This window comes from Homo sapiens, chromosome 2 (assembly GCF_000001405.40).
Source record: "Homo sapiens chromosome 2, GRCh38.p14 Primary Assembly".
Classification (NCBI taxonomy): Eukaryota; Metazoa; Chordata; class Mammalia; order Primates; family Hominidae; genus Homo; species Homo sapiens.
Window position 1 is genome coordinate 217,711,341 of NC_000002.12, and position 26,151 is coordinate 217,737,491.

Consider the following 26,151-nt stretch of genomic DNA (forward strand, 5'->3'; position numbering starts at 1 on the left):
CAGCAATGGCTTGGTGAGCAGATCTGGTTTGCAGCACAAAGCTTTGCACTCCCCCTGGACTGTTAGCCCTGACACAGTACATAGCTGTGGTTTCTATGGGAAAGCCCCTGGCTACCCACACCAGGCCTTAAATGTAGGATGAATCCCACAAAATCTCCCATCCGAACCTGCATTAGGACTCAAATCCTCGGCTGATCCTGGCAGGGCTGGGCCTCCGGGCACAGATTAGCACAGAAACCCCAGGAACTCAAAGCACCTGCAGGCAAGGATCACTATGGCTGGGAAGCCAGCATCCCCAGGTCTCCCTGGCCAAGTCAGATCTCTTTTCCCAGAAGTCTTTTCATGGTGAATAGGACACTATGACCAGGAGTCAGGAAACCTGGGTTCTTGTTCTAGGCCAGTCACCAACCAGCTCTGGGGCCTTGAGTAAATCACTAGCCTTTGCCGGGTCTCTACTTTCTCATCTCAGGAATACACCACCAGCCCTTGCTACTCTGCAGAACTTCGTAGAAGAACATGTAAGAGTATGGATGTGGAAATCATAGCCAACTTCCTACTTGGTGGGATACCTGGAGAAGACTCAGAGATGGCAGATAGATAGATAGATAGATAGATAGATAGATAGATAGATAGATAGATAGATAGAAAGAAAAACAGATCATCTCCCAGATTTCTGGGAACAGTACAGATGGCAGATGTTCTTCCTCAGTTTACTCATGAGCATAGTCTTACTTTTAAGGCGGTATGCCTAATTTCTTGTGAGATAATAAAGATGATAATTCAGTCAGGGAGATGGATAGAGCCTAGAGGAGGAATTAAGGGTGTGCACTTAGCCATCACTACTCTACCTCTGTTGAGCTGTGCCATCTTGGACTAGTTACACAGTTTCTCTGGGCCTCAATGTCATCATCTGTAAAATGAGATTATTAAGAGTTGTACCCAGTTGTGGGTACATAGTACCTAGCACATGCTCAGTGCTCAATGAATGGTGGTTGATGATGTCAAAAAGGAATTCTGACTTTCAGGCTCTGTCTATGTTGCTCTGTCCTTCCACTCCTCCCCATCCCACACATCCAAAGTATATCTTGTAATTGTGACCCTGGGTGTGCCTTGAAGGGTTTGGCTCTTTCTTTTTCCTATGCACTCCTCCTGGAAAACAGCAGACCTGCTGAGGCAACCAGCACAGAAACAGAGCTCGTGCCGACTCCCAACTGCCGGGGATACAAAGGGCTGCTAGGGAGATGGAGCAGGAAGCACAGCCCTGGAAGAGTGCACTGTCCCCCCAGCATCCGACAACCGGCCTCTCAGTGTGGAGCTCTGTGGGGCACAGTTGACGACTGTCACTCACATCCACTGACACCACCGTCTATGCCATTTGTCAGCAAGCAGAATGTCCTCATGTGGTTTGACCTGACTCTCTCAAGTCCTGGGGAACAAGGTTGCACCCTCCACATGAAAACAACCAGCTCAATGCACAGAGTCTGGTCAGATTCACAGCTGGAGTTTGCATCTGTCACCCACCACCCTGCAAGGTTCTATTCTTCAATTCGACCAAATAACTTGTAACTGGGGACACAGCCCAAACATGGAACCAGGAAAGGTCAAGGTTCCAAGCTACCTTCGAGATCATCTGATCCAATAACTTCATTGTTCTGGTAGGAAAAGCAAATCCCAGCGAGGGGACTTACCAGAGATCATACAGTTGGCCAGGGAGTGGCTCAAGGATCTAGGAGTAGCAGAGGCATCTTCACCCCCCCTCACCTGGGAGAAAACAGAACCACAAAGAGGGGGAGGTCGGCTGGTGGAGGGGACTGACACCGGTTGCATTTCAGGGGCTTCGCAAGGGGTAGAATGAGCACTGGACTGAGGGTTAGAAGACCAGGGTCCCCCACGTGTCTCTGCCTCGAATCAGCTGGGCCCCCGTGAGCTGTCACTTCCCCTCTCTTTGGGTCTCAATTCTCTCTTATAAAACGGAGCATCCCATCCACCTCTAAGAATGGGTTCAAGGAGCAGATGAAAATGTGTTTTGAAAATCCTGAGGCTCTACATATGTACAACCAAATTCTGCCCATCTACACAGCCACTTTTAGCTGTTGTCCCCAAGGCCTGGAAGCAGGCAGAGGGGAGAGTTAGGTAAGCTCTCTGAGCACATCCAAGGCTGGAGGGCTTCCCTCAGCAAAGGGGGCCCAGAGCACCAGGCTAAATCCATGTCATTCAAGCAGCGCTCAGGTTGTGTCTAAGCAGCTTTGATTTTAAAAGATTAGGAGGGCCGCAGGGTGGAAAGAAAAGTTGATGAGGCAACAAAGTCCTGCCCGCAGTACCACACTGCCCTCTGCAGGGTGTCTGTGAGAAGGCACCTCGGCTGGCCAGGTCAGGTTAATTCCGACTGCCCAGGGTCACAGATCCATTCCCGTGCCTCCACGCAGTGCAAGCCCTCTCCAAGTAGAAACAGGGATTGGGGGGGTGCTGCAACCACCCTCAGTAATCTGCTCTGTCTTCAAACAGCGCAGGCCTTTCTTGGTGTCTGGCCCGAATCTTCCTCTTGTCCTGACACCAACCATCTTCCAACCTGCCCTCCGAGGAGCCTGCCTTAGCGTCTCTTGCTTGTGACTCTAAAGCCAGGATTTAGAAGGTTCTAGAAAACAGAACAGCCCTGGCTCCTGCCCACCTCATTGTACCCTCTTTTCTCCAGAATAAGGTGGTTTCTCCATACCCTGGACATATTTTGGTCCTTGGAGAAAGCCCCCACACTGAAGGAGACGTGTCTTGCCTGAATCAACAGACAAGCCAGCGTCCTGCAGGTCTCAGTGATGAACCAAAAAGTCTGTGACTTTCACGAACATCAGACCCAATCTCCACAAATGATCTGGGATTGCGGGGGACATCCAGGGCCCAGAGCCTGCCCCCACGGCAACAAGGAATGTCCTCCAAGGCCCTCATGGCACCAGACCTTCCCCCTTCTCCATCCTCTCCCTGGCTGTGTGGTTCAGAGTGGGGCACTCTGCAGCTGGCTGACCAGCCTCCAGGCATGGGCTCAGGCCATGCTCCCTGTGTGCCCTGTGCAGACCCGGGGAGACGCTGCAGCCGGCCTGGCCATGTGACACGGGTGATTCACACACGCAGACGCCCAGACCAGTTTCTCCTTTCTTCCTCTCCCAGGCCATTACAAAAGGCACAGTCTCAGCACAGTGCTGCATTGTTCCCAGGGTCAGCAGAGGCTGGAAGCTGAGGGGAATTAGGAAGACAGGGAGTTGAGCAGCGTAGAGTGGTTTTCCATGCAGCATATGCACCTCGTGCAAGCCAAGCCCACTTCCTGTCTTGGCTCCAGCTCTGGAGCTCAAGTTTATATCTCCCTCCTTCAGAACCAACTTCGGTTTGGGTTGTTGGCTTCTTTAATTTTCCACTCTCCGCACGTGTGCATTTCTTTGAAAAATATGCACGTGCTGTGTCTTTTTTCTTCTCCAGCACACATCATTCTTTAGAGACTATAATATAAATTCGGAGTCCAGCAGCCTTTGTCTTTAAGAGCATGCTTTCTCCTTTGTCTTCTGCTCTCTACCCCCAACAAGACACTAAGCATAGACAGGTTGGTGGATGTGATCAGAGGTACACGTGGGCAAGGCCAGGACTTGGGGGTGCAACATGAGTGAATGGAAGAGAGAGGAGGCTGGTCAGCAATGGTGGCAGGGGGTGGGGGGTGAAGAAATTTGGCCATGAATGGGGCAGTCAAGGATTTGGGAAATTATTCCAATTTTCCTATTCTTTAATTATGAAAATCTTCGACTCTGGGTAGGTGAAAATAATTTCCTGGTAAATAAACACTTGGAATCAGAAGGGCTTTTGGCAGCCCAGTGGTCCCATTCTGATCATCTGAGAGGTAGTCCTTCCTCTACAGCAGGCCCATGGCCAGCAGGACAATCTGTCCCACGGCTGAGCAGCTCAACTCATTAGAAGGAGCTTTGAATATCAGGTCAAAATGTGTCCCCCAAGTGGTAGGTTGTAAAAATGGTCACCCTTTTTCACTCCTCCTTGTATCCATGCCCTTAACATGTGACTTTGCAGGACTGATCTATGACTTGCTTTGATCAAATGTAATGTCATGCCATTACTGAACTTAGACTTCAAGAGACCTCACGTACTTCTGCTCTCTCACTCTGAACCCTGTCACTGGCATGAGAACAAGATCAGTATAGTCTGCTACAGGATGAACTAACACATGGAGGAGAACTCTGTCATCCCAGCTTAGGCCTTCCTAAGCTTAGACTCTTACTCTCTCAAGTCCTGGGGACAACCCACAGCCAGCATGACAGCTGACTGCAGATGCATGTATGAACCCCAGCTGAGATCAGCCAAGCCTGGCCCAGGTCAGCAGAACCACCCAGCTGAGCCCAGCCCAAATTGCTGGCTCTCAGAATTATGAGTTAAATAAATGTTGTTTTAAGTCAATAAGTTTTGTAGAGTTTTGTTATGCAGAAAAACTAAACCAGTGCAGCCCATAATAGCCCTCTACAGCTATACAGAATAATCTCGTGATTCCTTGTCCCTGAGGACAGCCCTTTAAATAGTGAAATACTTATCATTGCCTCTAAGCAACAGAATGACTCTTGGGGAGGTCATGCTACTAGCTCCTGTTTTAGAGGAAAATCACCCACCAAGACATCCTTTGCCACTTCTTTTTCACTAGCTGCCAACCTAGGAGCTGCAAACATCTTGCAGTTGCTGTCAGCATCCTTCTACAACATCTTACTCACTCATTAGAGCACTCTGACAGCCCCATACCCCAATAATCTGATCTTTCCAGCACATTTTATTGAAAATTAAGAGAAATTATAAGATTGAGATGAGGAGGACACTAAAGTACAATGAAAGTAGTTAAGTAAATTAGGCTTCTTGAAGCCACTTCTGACCCAAATCTGCCAAAACTGCCAAAAAGCCTCCAAAATAAATGTCCATGGAAGGCTTCACATGGAGCCCCAGCTCCATGGGTCACAGCAGTTGAGGGTGGTCAGGGGCTGCTGCTTCCAGCATTGGCCATGTGAAGCCAGCAGCAAATGCATTGAACTTGGTCTTGGGGCTGATGGGGAAGGTCATCACCCCCACCACAGGAGACAGATCAGACCTATGGCAGCCTCCATTTGGAACCAGATGTGGAGGGAAGTGGTGTGGGAAATGGCTGCCATCTGTGGATTTTCTGGCTGAAGACTTGACTGCAAAGTTTGCCAGTTTCAAACGAGCCCTTGCAGCTTGGCTTCCTGTTTTCCGTTTGCGCTCCCCGTGTGTCACGGCACAATTATTCTGGGAGACGTGCTCAAAATGGACACGGTCTCCAATTTTCTTTCCCTAATAACAGTGCGGGAAATAGGGGTGAGGAAGGCAGTTGAGAGAGGAAAAACCCCAAACCTCAGAAAAGGATGAAAACACTTCTAAACTCAATTTCAAAAATGAGAAAATCAAAATCACCAAATCGCAATACACAGCCCTCTACTCATTCAATCCAGTCCCCTTATGGCTGAGCAGGCTAGCGAAGAGAAGAGACTTCATGGATGTGAGGGGTGTGAGTTCTACTTTCATGGGATCAAGAATATTTTGAAATTTTCTTTCCTGAGAGCCTAAAAATCATCCGCCTGGGATGGCAACAAGGTCAAATGGCTGGTGGTAGGGTCCTGAAAAGATGCCGTCCACCACCAATTATTTTTCAACCACATACATGGCCTTGGCCATGGCTCAAAGCAGAACAAAGAAAGGGCAACTCTCTTCCAGCTCTTTTTTGTCTTCTACTGGACAAATTAATCAGCCCCAGTGCCCAAATCCATTCTTATTCATGGCCAGGAAAGAAGTTGGAAGTCTAGAGTATGCATGTTTTAAAGGTCTTTGGAACTGTCTTGCTTTTGGATTTTAGATGAAAAGATTAGGATGTGTTTGTCTGTGTGTGCCTATGTATATGAGCCTGGATTTATCCAGGCTTTTATCTATGTGCCTGGGTACACATATTTGTGTTTCTGAAAGTGCCAGCTAGTGTGCGAGCATGATTTACATAAATAAATATATCTATAACATGTACACTTGGTACGAATGCCTGTGTGAGCCCATGAATGTGCACACTTGCTGGCCAGCATGTGCATAAAGTTGTGTTTGTGTGTGCATGCACATGAGTGTGTGAATGCCCCACATGTGTTGCATGCACTAACATGTCTGCAGTCTATGTTCAAGATGGGGTGGCATGAGTGTGCATGCTAGCACACAACTGCCTGTGAGAAGGTGTGTCTGTGTGTGCACGTGTCTGTCCGTGCAAGCAGGGCTCCTGGTCTCTCCCCATCTCCATCTCCACCTCCCCCTCCATCAGCCCACAGCAGCCTCTGTTTGCCTCCCTTTGGGATCTGCCAGCTAATGGCAGGAGTTCTTCTCCCAGGGAAACAACACTCCTCCCTGCTCATTTGTGTCTCATCAGAGGGCTAACTGGCCTGGAGGGGCTCCAGGCTCCAACCCGTAAATGGCAGCCCACGATGGCAATGGACGACTTTCTTAATTGCCCGTGATGCTTGCGGGTGCAGTGCAAACACAACGGTAGCTATTAGGCTGCGAGGCCTGAAGCAGGGTTACATTTTGCGCCTGTGTGAATTTAGTGTTCCTGGGAGTTGAGAGGCCAGAGTGGGTTGGAGCCACCGAGAGGCTGTTATTATGGCCTGGCATGAGCCTGCCGTTAGCTTCTTGAGACCCTGAGGCCATTTCACCACACTCCAGAATTGCAACCCCCTTGAATTTCCAAACCAGGGACCCTGGGCAGCAATCCCCCCACCACACACACACACACATGCACACACACAAACACACACACACACACACACACACACACACACACACAGAGTCATGCTTCTTCTTTCTCTATTCTGTCTGTCTCTGATTTATTTTTCTTTCTGTCTCTTTCTCCTCACTCTATGGTTTTTCTCTCTCTTTCACTCTTCCCCTCTATCCGTTTCTTGCTTCCTCCCTTCTTTCTTCCTCCCTTCTTCTCCTCTCTCTGCCACTCTCCTAGTTCATAAGCTCACAGCAGCAGACCTAAAGCTGGACAATGACCAGCATCACCTTCACCTGCCCAACCACCAGCAGTAGCCTTTCTCCTTCTCCAGCCCAACCCCAGCCCAGTCTCTCCCTTTGGTCTCCATCCAGCCCATTCCTTCACAGTTCTGGGTCCCAACAGGAACATTTGTTATGTATACGTAACTCTAAGGCTTTGAGGAGGCTGGAGGGGTTTAGCAATGAGCTTTTTGTTTCTTTTGTTCCCCTCTGTTTGCCCCCTCATAGACGCCCATGATAACCAGCGCTCAGCCTCTTGTTTTCTGCGTTGCTGGCTTCAGCTCACATGAGGGAAACTGAAGATCCAAAGATAGCGGGAGTACTCTACATCAATACATCAAAGGAAAGGTGCCCAAATGCAGGACTCCTCCATAGCTTAAGGCACAAAACTTCTCCTCCGTAGGCCCAGAATGGAAGAACATGGGTTTGAAGCCTCCAGTTGTGGGTGGCACTTGAAGGAATTTGGAGCAATGACAGAAGACTGTGTGATTTCCTCTTGAGAGGAGAAGTGGGCCAGGAAACAGTGGTAAGACACTGCTTTATAAATGGCTTAAAATATCCTCATTCAAATAGTTCTTCAGAACATGTTGCTTGGCTCAATGTTTATGGGTGAATAAATGAGTGAGTAAACAAATAAGTGAATAAATGAATGACTAGAAGGCAATTACGTTCCCTTTCCTAGAGATTCCTAGGAATGAAAATCATACTAAATCTGGATGATCTCTCCTTAAAGTAAGGGAATGCATAAGGTGACATCAGCAGGGCTCTCCAACAGGAGGAAGTAGCAATCCTCCAGTAGGTCCCCTCCCCTGGTGGCACCCAATTCCTTTGTGTATTAGTCTCCACTAATGATCTCAATTGACCTTCCCACCAATAAAGCATTGGAGATGAGGAAGCTGTGACGTTATGAGGATGAAGGCATTTCCAACTCTTTCACAGTTTTCATCCAATAGCACAACATCTTCTCTTGTCCTTCATCTCAGCCAGGACCATGAGAGGCTCCCAGGTGACCCCACATGGAACAGTAATGCAGATGCCTAATGCTTTTGTCCTTCTTATTTTGTCTACCTTGCCAGGTGTAAGGGCACTTTCTGACTGGGGAGGAAATATGAAAGTTCAGCTCCTTTGCATCTAGTTGGGACAAACTCTGAAGCATAATTTGCATTCTATCATGCCTCTGCAGGATCAAGGTAAAGTTTATCCTCCATGAGTTTATAACAGAAATTTCATGCTTGCTTGACTTCTTCCCCTTTTCTTTCCTGCATGCCCCACTCTCTTTCAAGTTTCTCCTAGGATCATTTTGTTAAAAAATCACTTGTGCACTAATAGTCATCTCAAGGTCTACTTCTGGAAAACTGATCTTAAATAACAGAGTGCTCAAACTAAAATGCCTACTAGAGTCTGTTGTGAGGAGGTATAGAAACCTCACACTCTACCCATCTTAGTTTGTTTCATGCTTCTATAGCAATACCATACACTGGGTAATTTATAATGAACAGAAATTTATTTAGCTTGTGGCTAAGTCCAAGGTCAAGGAGCCACATCTGATGAGGGCCTTCTTGCTGCATGATAACATGATGGAAGGCATGACATGTGTGTGAGAGACAGAGAGAAGGAAGCTAAATTCATCCTTTTTTAAGAAACCCATTCCCAAGGTAACAATCAATTGATGAGGGCCCTGCCTCTAATCATCTCTTAAAAGTCCCACCTCTCAACACTGCTGCACTGGGGATTAGGTTTCCAGCACATGAACCCTTGGGGAACACATTCAACTCACAGTGGCATCCAAAGACAGCAGCCGCTCCCAGTGGGAATGGCAGCCATACTGCAAGATAGCCTGACTTTTTAAAAATGTTTAACAGAATCCATGGTTTCACATATCTCTCCATTTTTAAGTGTGAAAAACATCTGAGATCTTTTTTAACACACTGTTCAAGCTGAGCAGAACACATCCACAGATGGGATTCATATTCCGACTACTAGATTTCAATCTCTGCATTGGTGGTTCAGATTCTAGTGAAGAAATGATTGGAGGTGACTTCCAACACCACCCAATCAAAAACTACCAAGTATTGAAAAGGGCAGAAACATGACCCATGGTATCATGACAAATCAATTAACCAAAACCAACTTGAAACCTACACGGATGTTAGAATTATCAGACAAGGAAATAGAAACAGTTATTATAATTATATCTGTATATGTTCAAAAAGTTAAGTAGAAGATATTTTAAAAGATCCAAGTCAGACTTCTACAGATGAAAACTAAAATGTCTGAGATGAAAAATACACTGACTAGAATAAATGGGAGATCAGACATTACAGAAGAAACTTGAAGACTCAGCAATATGAGCTAGCCATGAGGATACATAAAGATAAAAAGACATTATAGAAAAACTAACAGAGTATCACTGAGCTATGGGACAACTTCAAGCAACCAAATATATGTGTAATTGCAGTCATCAAATTTGAGATGCAAGGGAGAACAGAAAAATTATTTGAAGAAATACTGGTTAAATTTTTTTCCAAGTTTAATGAAAACTATATACCCACAAACCCGGAAAACACAATGAATGCCAAGCAAAAGAATATGAGGAATATCACACCTCATAATCAAATTGCTCAAAACCAGTGATTAAGAGAAAATCTAAAAAACAGCAAAAGAAAGGTACATTATGAACAAAAGAGCCAAAGTAAAGACAGCAGATGTCTCATCTTAAAACAGTATGTGAGGGAAGGCTGTAGGGCAATATCTTTAATGTGTCAAAAGAAAAAATATCAACTGGAATTCTATACCTAGTGAAAATATCTTTCCCCAAAAAAAGCGAAATAAAGAAATTTTCAGGCATAAAAAACTGTAAGAATCTAACACCAGCAGACCTACATTAGAAGAAATATTAAAGTCCTTTGGGAAAAAAAAATTAAACCAGATGGAAATATGAATGAATGTGCACCAGGAATTAAGAACACCAAAAATAGTAACTTACATTATATGAAAAACTTACCTAAAATGAATCGCAGATGTAAACATAAAATATAAAACTATATACATAGAAAATATAGAAAAAAACCTTTATGGTTTCTTAAGACTTCATACATACAATACCCAAAGTACAAGTGATAGTAGAACTAATTGATAAATTGGACTTCATCAAATGTAAAAATATCTACTCTTCAAAATCAGAATGAAAAGACAAGGCACAGACTACAAGAAAAATATTTACAAATCATGTATCTGATAATGGATTTGTATCCAGATTTATAAAGGGAACTCTCAAAATTCAATAAAGAAAATAAGCAACCCAATAAAGAAAACAGGAAAAATATCTAAACAGACACTTTCCCAAAGAAGACACATGGATGGCAAAAAAGCACATGAAAAGACATTCAACCTCATCAGTCATTAGGGAAATGCAAATTAAAACCACAATGACATAGCACTAAATAATTATTAGCATAGCTAAAATGGAAAGGACTGACCACATCAAGTGGTGGTGAGGATGTGGAGGAACTGGAACACTGTTGGTGGGATTGTAAAATAGGACAAGCATTTCGGAAAGCAGTTTGGCAGTTATTTTACAAGTCAAATATACACCTACCATATGATTCAGCCATTCCATTCCTGGATGTTTACCCAAAAGAAATAAAAGCATATGTCCATACAATGACTTGACTGAATTTTTATAGCAGCCTTATCTGTAATAGCCAAACACTTGAAATAACCCAGATGTCCTTTAACAGGTGAATGGGTAAGCAAATTATAATATACTCACATGATGGAATACTACTCAGCAATCAAAAGGAATGAACTACTAATACATACTACAATCTGGATGAATCCCAGAATAAGTATGCTGAGTGAAAGAAGCCAGACTAAAGAACATACATAGTATATTATTCCATTTATATAAAATTCTAGGAAACTCAAACTAACCTATAGAGAGGTAAAGCAGATCCATGGTTGTGTGGGTGAGAGAAGCAAGAAAGAAAGGTTACAAAGTGCCACAGAGAAACTTTTTGGGATAATAAATATGCTCAACATCTTGATTCCAGTGATGGGTTCATGGGTATACACCTGTGTCAAAACTTATAAAATTGTACACTTTAAATGTGTGCAGTTTGTTGCATGCCAATTATACCTCGATAAAGCTATTTTAAAAACAGCTTTATTATACTTATTTATTGATCTGGCAATCAACAATGATGTGTTTAAAAAAGAAAAAGAAATTGTCAAAAAAGGTGAAGCATTCTTAACCTGGACGTGGAAGCAGGGGAACCATAACCCACAGGTCAGCCCTACCATGGCCCAGGGTTCATTCATTCCCTTTCCACACGCCTTCATAGGCCCTCCAGTTGACTGAACATTTACTCCAAGGTCATTTAATTAATATCCATGAGAAAATGAGAATGTATGTGGATTTTCAGCAGGGACAAGAGCTGCATCAACTCTTTACTTTGTGTAATCTATATAAAAGTATGCCTTTTATCAAGGCACAATGCCTTACTTAAGCTTTTATAAAAAGTACCTATCCTTTACAATAGAAGCATAAGTATACAGTAGATCAAATATGAGCCACGAGTGAGCCGTTTGTTCTCACCTGCTGTGCATCATGATCTTACCAGTGTTTACTAATAACCCAACTATGAATGTGCAATATACCTCTATTACACTGTATTGGTCTCTGGGTAGAAACCCTCAAACGACGACTTCAGTGTCTAAATCATGACTCTGTATCCAATGGCTACCTCATTTATCTTCGTTTAGATTTTAAGCATTTTCCACTCATCGACATGTGTTTCTCATCTCCCAAGTATGTTCACAGCAGCCCGTGGGAGTGAGTAGAGCAGACACATCATCCCCTCCTTACAGACAAGAAAACCCAGGCAAAAAGCAGTGAATGGATCTGCCCGATATGACACAGCTAGTCCCCCAGATAAAATCACAGGCCTGATATGACACAGCTAGTCCCCCAGATGAAAATGCAGGCCCAATATAACAGAGCTAGTCCCCCAGATGAAAACGCAGGCCCAATATGACACAGCTTATCCCCCAGAAGAAAATCCAATATGACACAGCTAGCCCCCCAGATGAAAACTCAGGCCCAATATTACATAGCTAGTCCCCCAGATGAAAACTTAGGCCAAATATGACACAACTAGTGCCCCAGATGAAATCACAGGCCCAATATTACATTAGCTAGTCCCCCATATGAAAACTCAGGCCCAATATTACATAGCTAGTCCCCCAGATGAAAACTTAGGCCCAATATGACACAGCTAGTCCCCCAGATGTAAAATCAGGCCCGATATTACATAGCTAGCCCCCCAGATGAAAACTCAGGCCCAATACTACATAGCTAGTCCCCCAGATGAAATCACAGGCCCAATATGATACAGCTTTTCCCCCAGATGAAATCGCAAGCCCAATATGACACAGCTTGTCCCCCAGATGAAATCACAGGCCCAATATAACACAGCTTGTCCCCCAGATGAAATCACAGGCCCAATATGACACAGCTTGTCCCACAAATGAAAACTCAGGCCCGATATTACATAGCTTGTCCCCCAGATGAAATCGCAGGTCCACAGACATCTGTTGGAGGTGCAAGCTGACGGCACCGCTGCCACATGTCCGACCACACAGCCCCCAGCAAGGGGAATGGAAGGAATCATGGTCTCCAATCAGTGCCTCACAGAAGCCATGACCTTCTGCAACATCAGCCTCATATGAAAGCCCCAAGGTCGGAGCATCTCCAGTTCTATCAGCCACAGGGATGCCGACCCCCTGCCTATACTCACTCAGCTGGAAGGCGGCCTGAACCTAATGGCCAAAGAGGCCGGAAGATTCCATGGATCTGGAAGCCAAGGTGGAAGCCTTTGGTCCAACTGAGCTCTGTCCCTATGGTCAACAGGCAGTTTAAACAGGTCTCAGCCAGCGTCTGTGCCAGAAGCCCAAGGTCAGGAACCACTTCATGCATTCTACATGCCATCAACACAAGACCCACTGCATGGGAATAGGGCTCAGAGATGGAGGCAAAGAGGAGACGACTGCCCCAAGGAGTAAAGAGGGAGAATGGTGAGGGGCTGATCTCAAGCATGAGCCCTAGGAACCTCACCCCCAGCTTTGCATTCCAGCATTACAGCATCTTGTTCCTACTGCAGTAGGGCCACAAGCCCAAGGGGTCAGTTAAAATGCCAAAGACTATCACATTAAGTGCCAGACTCTTATCTCCAAACAGCTTGAAAATAAACCAGCCAGAAACCAACAGGGATCTACAGCTCCAGAACTCAACATGGGGAAGTAATTCAGGAAGCTGGTGAAGTGTGGTGGCTAATATCACAAACCATGATGTCAAACAAACCTGCTTTCACAGACTATTCTTCAGACTATTCCTAACTGTGCAACCTCAGGCAAATTACTTTCCCTCTCTCAGCCTCAGTTTCCTCATTTAATGCATGGAGATAATAGGGATGCCTACCTCACTGGGTTGCCATGAAGATTAAATGAGTTTGTATACGTCAAGGGCTTAGTAAAATGCAGAGTACACAGTAAGTGCTCATTAAATACAAGTTGTTATTGTTGTAGTTCTGATTGGACAGAAAGCAAAGGGAAGGGGAAAGTCTGGCCTGAGGGGGTTTTGCTGGATGTGTCCTTGTGCAGGAAGGGGATGCAATGAGTCCCCAGATGCCCTGAGGCAAAGAGAGGCAGGAAAGAGCAGGTAGATGCCAAAAGCGGACATAGCAGGCCACCAAGCCCTCTACATGCTTCTTCTATTTTCCAATTATTGTTCTCATTTGACAGATGAAAAAATTGGGACTCAGCTGGTTGCATGGCAGGACCCCACAGCAGCTCTGGTTTCATCACAGCCCCTGTTGCTATGGTCTCCACTCCATCCTTTGTCGGGATTGGATCCCTTTCCATCTGGAGATCCACTGGGGACAGGATGTGCCTTTCAACAACCCTCTTCCAGCTCAGCAAACAGCTGACCTGCTCGAGACTATTCCTGACCTCCGCTGCATGGCATCTGTGGTCATGTATTGGTGCCTGTACCATGAGACCCTGAAAAATGAAGCCCTGTCATACAGAGAGCCCCGCAAAGCCCATCAGCCTGCCCTGCTGCCTGAGGCAGAAGCTCAGGGCACAGGCTTTCCAGCCTTCATTCCACAACTGTGAGTTGCAATACCTGCCCAAACAGCTCTATGCTAAATAAGCACAAGGGGTATGAGTGGAGAAAGGTGAGTGGAGATAAATCACCAGGCCCTACTTACCAGCAGAAAACAAGCCACCCAAGTCACAAGGTTGGCTGCAACAAATGTCTTAGAGGCAGAGGCAAAGATAAAAGGCTCTAGGAGTTCCAAGAAGGGAACGGAGCCTTCCGGCTGGAGAGCAGGGAGCAGGCATTTGACCCAGGTGACATTTCTGTGCCCCAGACAGCCAAATCCACGTGGATTTAGTTCCTGACTTTCCCTGGTGAGATGCAGGAACAGGTGATGGAGCAGCTAGGAGCTCCCTCCCTGAAGGCCTGGGAGGGGAGTCAGAGTTGAAAAGTGTGCCGTCCTCCTTAAACCTACTGCATCGTCAGGCTCTGAGACTCCCCACTCCACCCTCCCCCACACCTGAGAGCTCCCAACATGGTCTGCCTGGATTTCCCTGCAGAAAGGAGTCTTACTCAAGACCCCCTTGTGACTTTGGAGCCAGCCTAACTAGGAGAGGGCTTTGACCCCATGCAAGGTGCATGGAGGATCTGAGATCTCAACTTCTCTGCCCTCAAGTCTCCATGAGTCCTTGGACTCTGGGGGGCCTCTCTCATTAAACAAGCATGAACTTGGCCCTCTACTCCCCAGCCCTGGCATAGGTCCTGCATATAAAGCATAGACCTGAATAGGAAGCTAAAATTACACGACTTCTTAAAACTTCTCCCTGAAGACCTCGGGCTTCTCGGTTCTTCTTTCTTTCTTTAGTTATTTCACTCAATTTATTGAACAGTTATTGAGCCCTACTCTCTGCTAAGCCTGTGGTCTCTCCCTCCTTTCAAAATTCACTTTCTTTGTAGTAGTGCTTCTCAAACCGAGGTGGGTTGACCCTCTGCTGCAGAAACATGAGGGGTTACAGGAGAAGGGTTTCCGAGGCTACCTCACTCTCACTCCAAAGTGAATCAGAGCCCCATCAGTAAATATGGGTTTTTATCCAATGCTTCGGGGATCTGATGAACATTTAAATCTGAGAACCACTGACTTAGAGCTGTTTTCTCTAGTTTTGTCCTGTGTTGTTGCTTCTCATTTTTGAACAACATACTTTTGACAACGCAACAGAATTTGATGTTTCTGCAGGGCAGGGCTGAGTCACATTCATCTTCTCTCCTAGGACACCTTTCTTAGTCTGTTCAAGCTGCTATAACAAATATCATAGACTGGGCAGCCCATAAGCAACAGAAATTTTTTCTTCACAGTTCTGCAGGCTGGGAAGTCCAAGATGAAGGAATCAGCAGTCTTAATACCATCATCTTGGGGGGTTAGGATTTCCATATACGAATGGTGGGTGGGGCAGGGGGAGCACTGTCAATTACTAGTTAGAATGGACCCCATACACAAACAGTGGTACTCCCAAATCCAGCTTCCTGGGTGTGACCTCTGTAGTCACTTGGGGCCCTGAACTTACAAGGGTCTATATTTGGTTTGATACTCTGCTATGACCATCCTGAAATTTGAACTAATTTATCTCTATGTTTGGAACTGGAATCTAATGGGACATGGGAATGCACACGAGCAGAGGAGATAAGGGACCACATGTGCCTACCATTGCTTGCCAACCCATTGACATATAGCATTTGCAGTGCCCCATGAGTACAGAATCCCGGTAGACTCAGGATCCCTGGCAGTTCAGCAACATTCAAAGCAAGTATAAGGTAAGTGTGTAACACCTATGACTGAGTAATATGGGAGTCGTAGCTCCAAAAGTCTACATTTCCCATTCAAACCAACCTGCTTTGAAATGACTTTTAGAAACATAAACAATGAAGAGTCCCTATCATATCCTTTTCTTTCTTGTCTTGATTCCCTATATGAACCAACCATTTATTTATGCTGAAAATGATAACATAGATGGAAAAACAAGATAGCACAATCCATAGATATTTTTCCTTTCAGTCCTTTCTTACTCATCAGTAAACTGAAGGGAGAGAGAGTTGATAGGATATGTGCATATCAAGAAGTGAAGGCCAGGCATGGTGGCTCACTCCTGTAATCCCGGCTCTTCGGGAGTCCGAGGCAGGTGGATCACTTGAGGTCAGGAGTTCAAGACCGGCCTGGCCAATGCGGTGAAATCCCGTCTCTACTAAAAATACAAAACTAACTGGGCACGGTGGTGCACGCCTGTAGTCCTAGCTACTGGAGAGGCTGAGGCAGGAGAATCGCTTGAACTCGGGAGGCGGAGGCTGCAGTAAGCCGAGATCGTGCCCCTTACTCCAGCCTAGGCAACAGAGTGAGACTCTGTCTCAAGAGAAAAAAAAAAAGAAGTGGAATGACTAATCAGAATGGACCCCATATATAAACATGGTACTCCCAAATCCAGCTTCCTGGGTGTGACCTCCACAGTCACTTGAATATAGACCCTGAACTTACAAGGGTCTATATTTGGTTTGCTACTCTGCTCTGACCATCCTGAAATTTGTACTAATTTTATCTCTGTGTTTGGAACTGGAATCTAATGGGACATGAGAATGCACGTGAGCAGAGGAGATAAGGGACCACGCATGCCTACCATTATGGCAAACAGTAGTTAGTTTTGTGAGTTTCCACTGTCATATAGTCATGAATGAGCTATGAAATATAATTATGTCATTTCAGTGATTCTACTAATTAAACACTATATTTGCATCAAAAACTGGCATTTTACAATATAAAGAATAGTAAAATTGATGGTAATAATTTCATTTTTAAGTGTTTATTCACGTAGAACTACATTAAATAGCAACTTTAAAACACCATGAGGAACCATGAAAGAAAGGAAAAAACTTTAAATTTTAAAACCTTTAATGGCATTTTTTTCCTGCTGTTTGAAGAAGGGGACTACATTTTTATTTTGTACTAGGGCCAGCAAATAATGTAGCCAGCTCTGGTTATACCCATACAGGTACAGATAAATATCTATATATGTAATATAGATGCTGTATTGCATCTGTAATATAGCAGATGAATACTGGATGACACTTATCTGGATAATAGTGGAAGAAATTTGCAGATGTCAGAGTTAGAAGCAGTAATATTCTGGGGCTGGCTCCTACCATTCATACCAGCTCTCAGCAGCCAAGTGGGTGCATCTCACCCAAGTTTGCATTCAATGACATCACGTTGTAGCTTGAAACTGGCCAGGATGAAAGTATTCACATTGCAGAAATCAGTAGACACCACAAATCAGGGCTTTTTTTTTTTTTTTTTTTAAGACAGAGTCTCGCTCTTGTCACCCAGGCTGGAGTGCTGTGGTGTGATCCTGGCTCACTGCAACCTCCACCTCCCAGGTTCAAGCAATTCTCCTGCCTCAGCTTCCCAAGTAGCTGGGATTACGGGCACCTGCCACCACACCCAGCTAATTCTTTTTGTATATTTAGTAGAGACGGGGTTTCACCTTGTTGGCCAGGCTGGTCTTAAACTCCTGACTTCAGGTGATCCACCTGCCTCGGCTTCCCAAAGTGCTGGAATTACAGGTGTGAGCCACTGCACCCAGCCAGAGCTTTTTTATTCCAAAGAGCTGGTGTTAAACTTTTACCAGCATACAATTAATTGGTCAGAGGTTATCTAGTTCAATTTCCTCATGATGACAGAAACAGAGAGGAGAAGCAATTTTCCAAGGTCCCACCACTTCTAAGAAGGAGCTCATCATGTTCTGTTTCTGAGGTCCTAGCATGGAAAAGAGTGACCCCAGGGAGCCCATAGTAAACCAAAACCCAAAAATAACGGGCATCCAGAATCCTGGCAGATATCCCAGTGCCAGTCTGGCCTGCTCCTCCCGGCAGGATGCATGCCCTCCTAGGATAATATTGGGATTAACTGGGACTGGTTATGTCCTCCCTGGGTTGTCCTGTCACCAGGCAGGAAGGGTAACCTTTGTTTAGATATGCTGGGTCTCACTCCAGAACATGCTTCCTGGCCCATAATTACTTTCAGAGCATGCTGTTTCCACTTAGGGAAACCTGAGCTTCCTTCCAAATGGCACCGGACATGACCTGAAATTATATGTTTGCCTGCCGAAATGGACACACTAGTCAAGCCTGCTGCCTTCAAGTCACAATGGATTAAGTTGTAGGAGGGGGCCATGCTGCTGGGCGAAGCTGAGCTGGAAAGGGGGGCCTCTCATGAGTCTAGAAATCTGAGTTGTGTTTTCTCCACCCATGCCTGGACCAGCTCCAGGGCACAGCTCTGCAGCCTGAGCCACTGGGGACTGATCAGGGCCATGCTCTGCCTGAAGTCTTTGTTAGTTAATGTGAAACACATTTTCTAATCACCCATGATGTGGCAGGCATTAGAGATTCAACCCTGAGTGAAACGTTTATCCTGTCTTTATGAGGCTCACAGTCTGACAGCAAATAATTACAATTTAAAGGAGACTGTGATGTAATCCTTGAGAGAAGGAAACGTAATGTGATTAATTCCTGCTCAATGGAGTGGTGTGACAAGAGATGATATTCAACCTTGATACTGAAGGACAGGTAAGACTGAATCCTTTACTGTTTTTTCTTTTTTTTTTTTTTTTTTTTTGAGATGGACTCTCACGTCTCACTCTGTCGCCCAGGCTAGAGTGCACTGGCGTGATCTCAGCTCACCGCAACCTCCGCCTCCTGGATTCAAGTGATTCTCCTGCCTCAGCCTCCCAAGGTGGGACTACAGGGACGCGCCACCACGCCTGGTGGCTGATTTTTGTATTTTTGGTAGAGACAGGGTTTTACCATGTTGGCCAGGCTGGTCTCGAACTCCTGACCTCGGGTGATCTGCACACCTTGGCCTCCCAAAGTGCTGGGATTAGAGGCGTGAGCCACCACACCCAGCCTTTTTACAGTTTCTAAGCACTTGCATGAACATCAGTGAATTTCATTCTAATAAGCATGCTATCAAGTGAAATGAGAAAGATGGTACTGGAAATAAGGTTCAAGGTGATTTTTCCATGAATATGATTTGTATCTGTGTCACCACCCAAATCTCATGTTGAATTATAATCCCCAGTGTTGGAGGTGGGGCCTGGTGGGAGGTGATTGGATCACGGGGATGGATTTCTTATTAATGGTTTATCACCATCCCCTTGGTGCTGTCCTCACAATAGCGACTGACCTCTCGAAAGCTGGTTTTTTAAAAGAGTGTGGCACCTCCCCCTCCCTCTCTTGCTCCTGCTTTCACCAGGTGATGTACCTGCTCCCCCTTCCCCTTCTGCCATGATCGTAAACTTCCTGAGGCCTCCCCAGAAGCTAAGCAATGTCAGCACCACACCACCTGTAAAGCCTAGAGAACAGTGAGCCAATGAAAGCTCTTTTCCTTATAAATGACCCACTCTTAGGTATTTCTTTATAGTAATACAAGAACAGCCTAATACACCCATGATCATGTAAGTAGGCAAGGAAGAAAGGGGCTGAAAACACAATAGCTAGGAAAAGAGAGTAGATGTTAGTTGTCGTCTAACTAGAAAAGGAGTTGGTCTTAGAAATTAAAGTGAGGAAGGGGTGATTCTCAAGTCCCAAGATCCTGATACAAGGGCATCTCCCACGCTCTTCTCACTGGAAGTTATTGCCTCATCCCTCTCTCCCACTCTGGCTTCTTTCTGCAGCCCCTGGTTCCCTCAGTTCTGGAGACTCGAAGTCTATAATCAATGGTTGGCAGGATTGGTTCCTTCTGAGGGACATGGGAGAAGAATCTGCTCCAGGCCTCTCTCCTTGGCTTGTGGATGACCACCTTCATGTCATCTTCCTTCTACATGTGTCACTGGGTGCAGATTTCTCTTTTTTATAAGGACACTAGTCATATTGGACTAGGACCCACTCCTGATGACCTCACTTTAACTTGATTACCTCTGTAAGGACCCTATTTCCAAGTCCCATTTTGGGGTGCTGGGGGTTATGACTTCAACATATGAATTTGAGGGGACACTATTCAACCCACAATACTAAGCAAAAATTTCATCTACTCTCACAACACCCAATGATCCCCGGCTCCACCTGTTTCACGGAAAGGTAGAACTAAGCCCACGCATGACAAGCTGCCTGTCCACTGGTGCTATAGCGAATCCTCAGCAGGAGCCAGAAGCTGACCCAGCACACGGACTCCCAGCCCAGAGTGGTCACCACAGGCTCCTGTAAAGCCAGAAAGCAGAGGCTTCGGAACAGGAGTCTGAGCCCATCCAATACCATGTGGTTTGCTCAGGGAATCTTTTATTTACTTTAAAATATAGACATATAGAGAGCTGCATGTTCTCCAACATATGTGAAACAACCTCGGTTCAGATGATCTGCAAAACCCCAAATTGTCCCCATTAGGTTCCCAGGAACTTCTTTGCTGACCACTACTGGACCTCAAACCCCATGGCCTGGATGGCCTCCAGTGAGTCATTCCGGTCACTCCAGAGTCTGAAAATCCATCACATGACCCCCATTCCTGCCCCTCCTTGGCCACATCAGCAGAGCTTTCTAAGTCCATGCTCAGTTCAAATTCAAAAATAATGCTCTTTCCTTTTTTCAAAATCCTGCATGATCTTCTGGATAATCCTATCCTAGGTCTCCCATGGGTGACCTGACAATACAGGGGAAGGAATTTAGATTGGAGGCTAGGGAGAACTCCAAATGCACCCAGCATAGCTTAGCAAGCTTAGTACCTCTGTCTTGGCCACTCAAGCAGCTCTGATCAACCCCTGGGTTGAAATTCAGGAGACTTCCTGCGGCCGTGCTGGTAGGAGATTATTGGTTATGGAAATTCTGAAGCTACACCTGGTTCTCTCTGTGGCTCAACTGAATATCTAAGTAATGAACTCAACTTCCTGTGGATACCCTATGTAGGAGTAAAGGCTTTAAAATATGCGCTGGGGAATCAATTCATACCTCCAAAGGAGCAGGACTTCTTAGGGACCATCACCATAATTGCTGTCATCACCAGAACTTTGTGATGAACTTGTGAGCTATGACACAGTGTCGAGCTACAGACAGGGCTTCAGACTGAGTCTTGGCTCTCTGGTTCACAGTTAAAAGCAGGCACTGCAGAATAAACTGACTCTTAGACTGCCACTGTGTTGGTCATTTGCCTGTTTGGTCTGCATGCTAGTTCATTTCTGCCCTGTTCTGCACTGCAGAATACTATATTTCTTAGGCTTTCTTGCTTGCTGACTTCAGGATAGCTTTGACCAATGGGAGGCATGACAGAAGGCTGAAGGAAGAGGGAGGCCACGCTGTTTCTGCCACTCTCTTTCTGCTCTGGGCAGCATCTCAGGGAGTGTCAGCCTTGCTCCATGGCCCTAGCTCCCACCACACAGGCCAGCCATGGTCTTAGCTTCTGCAGGTGGCCCCATCCTGGTGGCCAGTAAAACCACCTCCCCCTTATTCCTCAGCCCTAGGGAGGAGTCTTGGAAGCTTCCATGTCATTAATTCCCATTTGGTTTCTCAGCTCTCCCGTCTCTGCATAACCAATTCCTTGTGTTCAACTCTTGCTATGTAACACACTCAGAGTGGTTTCTGTTTTCTGCCTGAACCCTGACTAATAGAGCAAATGACAGAAATTCAATCAAACTAGCCAGGAAGGAGAAAGAATTTGTTCTTCACAGAAGGAAACTGTGGGAAGGGCAGGGCGCAGCTGGGTCTCAGAGCAATTGGATCCAGAACTGTCTGTGTTGCTCATCTCTGCTCCTCTCTACAAGCCAGCTTCCTTCCCCCAGACAGGCTTCCTCCACATTCCTTGGGAAATTGTCCTGAGCAGCTCTTAGACTCGCATCTTTGGGCTCAATGCCAGAAGGGAACAACTGTTTTTCTTCTAATCCAATTTAAAAGACAAAAGGTAAGGGCTTCTATCAGTCTAGCTTGGGTCAGTGTCCACCTCCATGGCCAAGGGACCAGGGAACTGGTTGACAAAACCTACTAGAGTCACATGGTTGGGGAGTGTCCAAGAAAACGGTGCCAGAGTCACCACTTAAGTGATAAGGCTTATTAGGAGGCACAATCTCAAGGCAAAGACTTCTCACTCTCTCAAGAGAGAAAGGAAAGGGGTGAATGCAAGGAATGCATTTCCAAGCTACCCACAGCTCCACAAAGGGACACAGCCAGTTTCTGATTCACAGAGGATGTCTTCACACATCCGAGGCATAATCACTGCCCCTGAGAATCTTCCATCCCATAGAAGAAAAGAGAAAAAATTGTCTGCTGGATCCCTCGCATCTCCTGTCTTTCATAGGTCAAAGTTTTCTACATGAGGCACTATCTCCCCATGTTGCTGGGCTGTAGCCTTGCTTGGCATCTTGGGGCAGTCCCTACCAAAGGCATCAAAGAAGCAAGGAAAGCAGTGTGGCACTTCAGCAGAGACTAGAATGGGGAGGCATCTGAGGATCAGGTTGGATCAGGTTGGCCACAGCAGAAGCAGTAGAGGTGATGTTGGAGCTCAAAACTCATCCCACAGGAGGGAACCCATGGGCAGCAGCGTGACTGTGGCAGCAGACACAGAGGATCAGTCTCCATGAGCAAGCAGTGAGGTCCTAAGAGAAAAGAAAGGTCCAGCAAATCCGAGGTGATGCAGACATTAAAGCAATGGGGTGGGAGGGGCAGGCCCCAAAAGGACAGCGCTGTTCTTAGCAGGAAGGGGTCATATAGGGACAAAACAATAGGTTCAGGAATAGAAGCCTGCCAGGTTGAACAACAAAAGATTCAACCAAAACAAGGTATTTGTAGAATGTAGACATCAAGGGCAAACAAACAGGTATAGGCAATGCAGACAGAGCCTCAGAGGTGGGCTTGCCAGAGCTGTATCAGTGTTCTCCACTTTTCTCCCTCTCTCAACCCTGACCACAGCTCTCCACTTTCATCTTCCCTTCTTCTGAGCATCTGTTCTGGGCCAGAGCCCATCTCAGGCAAATAATGCATGGTCTGTGCCTGCATTCGTATACCTGATTCCAAGTACGTCTCACCTTCTCCTCAACCAAGCCATCATCTCCCACCAGTCTCCATGATCCTCTCCTAACTCAGTGGTCCCCAACTGTATTAATCCTTTTTCATGCTGCTACAAGGACATACCCAAGACTGGGTAATTTATAAAGAAAAGAGATTTAACTGACTCACAGTTCTGCAGGGCTGAGGAGGCCTCAGGAAACTTAAAATCATGGCAGAAGAGAAAGCAAACACATCTTTCTTCAGAAGGCAGCAGGAGAGAGAAGAATGAGAGCCGAGCAAAGGGGGAAGCCCCTTATAAAACCATCAGATCTCAAGACAACTTACTATCACAAAAATAGCATGGGGGAAACCTCCCCCGTGATTCAATTACCTCCTACTGGGTCCCTCTTGTGACACATGGGGATTATGGGAACTACAATTCAAGATGATATTTGGGTGGGGACACAGCCAAACCATATCACCAATCTTTGTGGCACCAGGGACCAGTTTCATGGTGGACCAGGTGTGGGGGTAGGGGGAGAAACTGTTCCATCTCACATCATCAGGCATTAGGTTCTCATAAGGAGCACAAACCTAGGTCCCTTACATGCACAGTTCACAGTAGGGTTTGTGCTCCTATGAGAATCTAATGACACCACTGATCTGACAGGATGTGGTGCTCAGGTGGTAATGTTTGCTCACCCCCTCCCCCACTCACCTCCTGCTCTGTGGCCTGGTTCCTAATAGGCCATGGACTGATACCTCTATGGCTTGGGAACTGGGGTCCCCTGTCCTAACTGGTCCCCTGCTTTTCCATCTTTGTTTCACTTCAGTGTCTTCTATACACAGCAACCAGGTGATCCTTTTAAAACCCAAATCAGATCATATTTATTCCCTTCCTCAAATCCTCCAAAGACTTCCCATCACACCTCAGACAAAATCCATGCTCATTGTTCCCCCGGCATGATCTGACCTCCAGCCTCCTGCCCGCCATTCTCCCCTTCACTGCTCCCAGTTTCAACTGCACTGGCCATCTTGCTGTTCTAGAGCCCAGGCAGCATGCTCCCACCTCAGGGCCTTTGCTCCTGCTGTTTTCCCTCCTTAAACCACTCTTCCTCCAGAGAGCAGCGTGGCTCGTGCCCTTGTTTCTTTCAGGGCTATGTCCAAAGTCAGCTCCTCAAAAAGGCCTCCCTGATCATCCAAGCTAAAACAGCACTCTGCTTCATGCTGTTCCCCTTACTCTGTTTCTCTAGTCCTTATAATACTACTTACCATTCATGACATCAAATTATGGGTGGGGGGGTGCAGGTTTATTTCTCCCTCTTCTCCCTTCCTTTTAGAATGTAAGCTGCATGCAGAAAGGGGCTTTGTTATATTCCCTACTGTAGCTAGAATAATGCCTGACACCACCGAGCTCTCAATAAATATTGGTGCAATAAATGGATTAATCTGGTGGGAGACAGATTGGCCACTACGGTATGACAAGGGCTGGCATAGATACAAGAACAAGAGTCTTGGGTTACATTCTCCAGCCAGAGGGGTCTGGGAAGTCCCAAAGGGCATGAGCAGCTGGGATTCATCCTGCTTGCAGTTTCCAAACCAGTTCAAAAACAACAGGAGATTCTGATCAGACAGAGTTGGCTGATAGGGAAGAGCCAAACTGCTTCTGGTGCGGGGCAGTTCAAGGTGAGCTCAATGAAGTCACTTAGGGCCTGTGCTTAAAATACTGTTTATTTTCTATTTTTAAAAATGTTTGTCATTGAAATGTCATGGTGGAAGGGGAGTTTGGGAATCATCTAGGCCAGCTATCCTGCTGCACGGGTCAGAAAACTGCATCTCAGAGACAGAAAATGACTTTTTCCAAGTGACAGGGTGAGTTGGTGGTCAAGTCTGCTCCCCTGTCTGGGATGCATAGACACTCTTGGCTTCTCGAGTGCCTAGAGGATTTGGTCCCAGGGATACTTATCCTTTCAGACAGCAGCCTCTGAGAACCTTTTATGCCAGTATATTGCTAAAGTGAAACCTGGCTACTAGAGAAAGCCTCTCTGTGTTTAAATTCAAATGTGTGGTTTGTCAGAAAAGTAAGGATTTTACTGCTGTTATTTAAAAAATGGTTCTGTAAACATCATGAGGGCAAGGACACCTGTCTTATTCACCACTGCATTCTAAGTACCGGCCAGGTGCTGGACACATGGTAGGTACCCAGTCATTATGGTTGAATTAACTGGTTAAGGAAACTAGAAAGTAATTCTTCCAGAAGAAAAAAGTTGAGCATGAAACTTGGTATTCTCTCCATTTTGCATCCGTATGGGAGGAAGATGCAGGGAGGCTTAGATTTTAGAATGATGATGGGAGTGTTAGAATGACAAACTAAGGGATTTTTCTGGTTCCAGTAACTTGGTATGGATTAAAAAGCAACAACTTTCGTCACTCAGCACTCATGGTGTTTTCCTCAATTTACAAAGTAATAAGAGTTGGCATGAAACTTGAGAGTTATTCATATCCTTGTAGGGTTTAACTTAAGTGGACATGTCACAAGAAATGTCCTAATAAAGCTTTGATTATGAAATTACCAATTTTCCATCTGCCAACAATATTAGGGAAAAGGCTACTTTATTGTACTTAGGAGTTTGCCTCTTTTTCAACTTGCTTTTTACAACTTCACTCATCAATAGTTTTAACAATGTGTTCTATTCCATTCCAGGATGTGGGAGTCAATCATGTGTAACAAAAGGCCACCACTGCCACATGCCCTAAGACATGAACAAACCCCTCATAAGCTGAGTCAGCAGATCTAAATTGATAGCCAGACAGCAGAGGCTGAGGACAGCGCCTCCCTCAAAGCCAAACAACAGGGGTTCCTGGACTGGGCCATTCTTTAGAGGCCCCACTCTGGCCTTCCTCTGGCCTTGGGGCTCTTCACAGGGCAAGGATTTCACAGGCCCAAGAGAAGATACCAGACCAAAGCTCAGGGC

General features: G+C 45.8%; 1 long non-coding RNA gene across 12 annotated transcripts in view, besides 1 other annotated feature; it reads right to left on the bottom strand.

The window, feature by feature from the left end:
- Positions 1 to 26,151, bottom strand: part of DIRC3 (disrupted in renal carcinoma 3) — a 506,425-nt gene that overhangs the window by 427,322 nt on the left and 52,952 nt on the right. The gene's annotated exons all lie outside the window — the stretch shown is intronic.
- Positions 2,385 to 2,434: an enhancer, noted in NCBI's record as "active region_17106". NCBI's record gives its function as "activates an Ori minimal core promoter by ATAC-STARR-seq in GM12878 lymphoblastoid cells {active_cell/tissue: GM12878}" and the evidence as "EXISTENCE:reporter gene assay evidence [ECO:0000049][PMID:35858748]".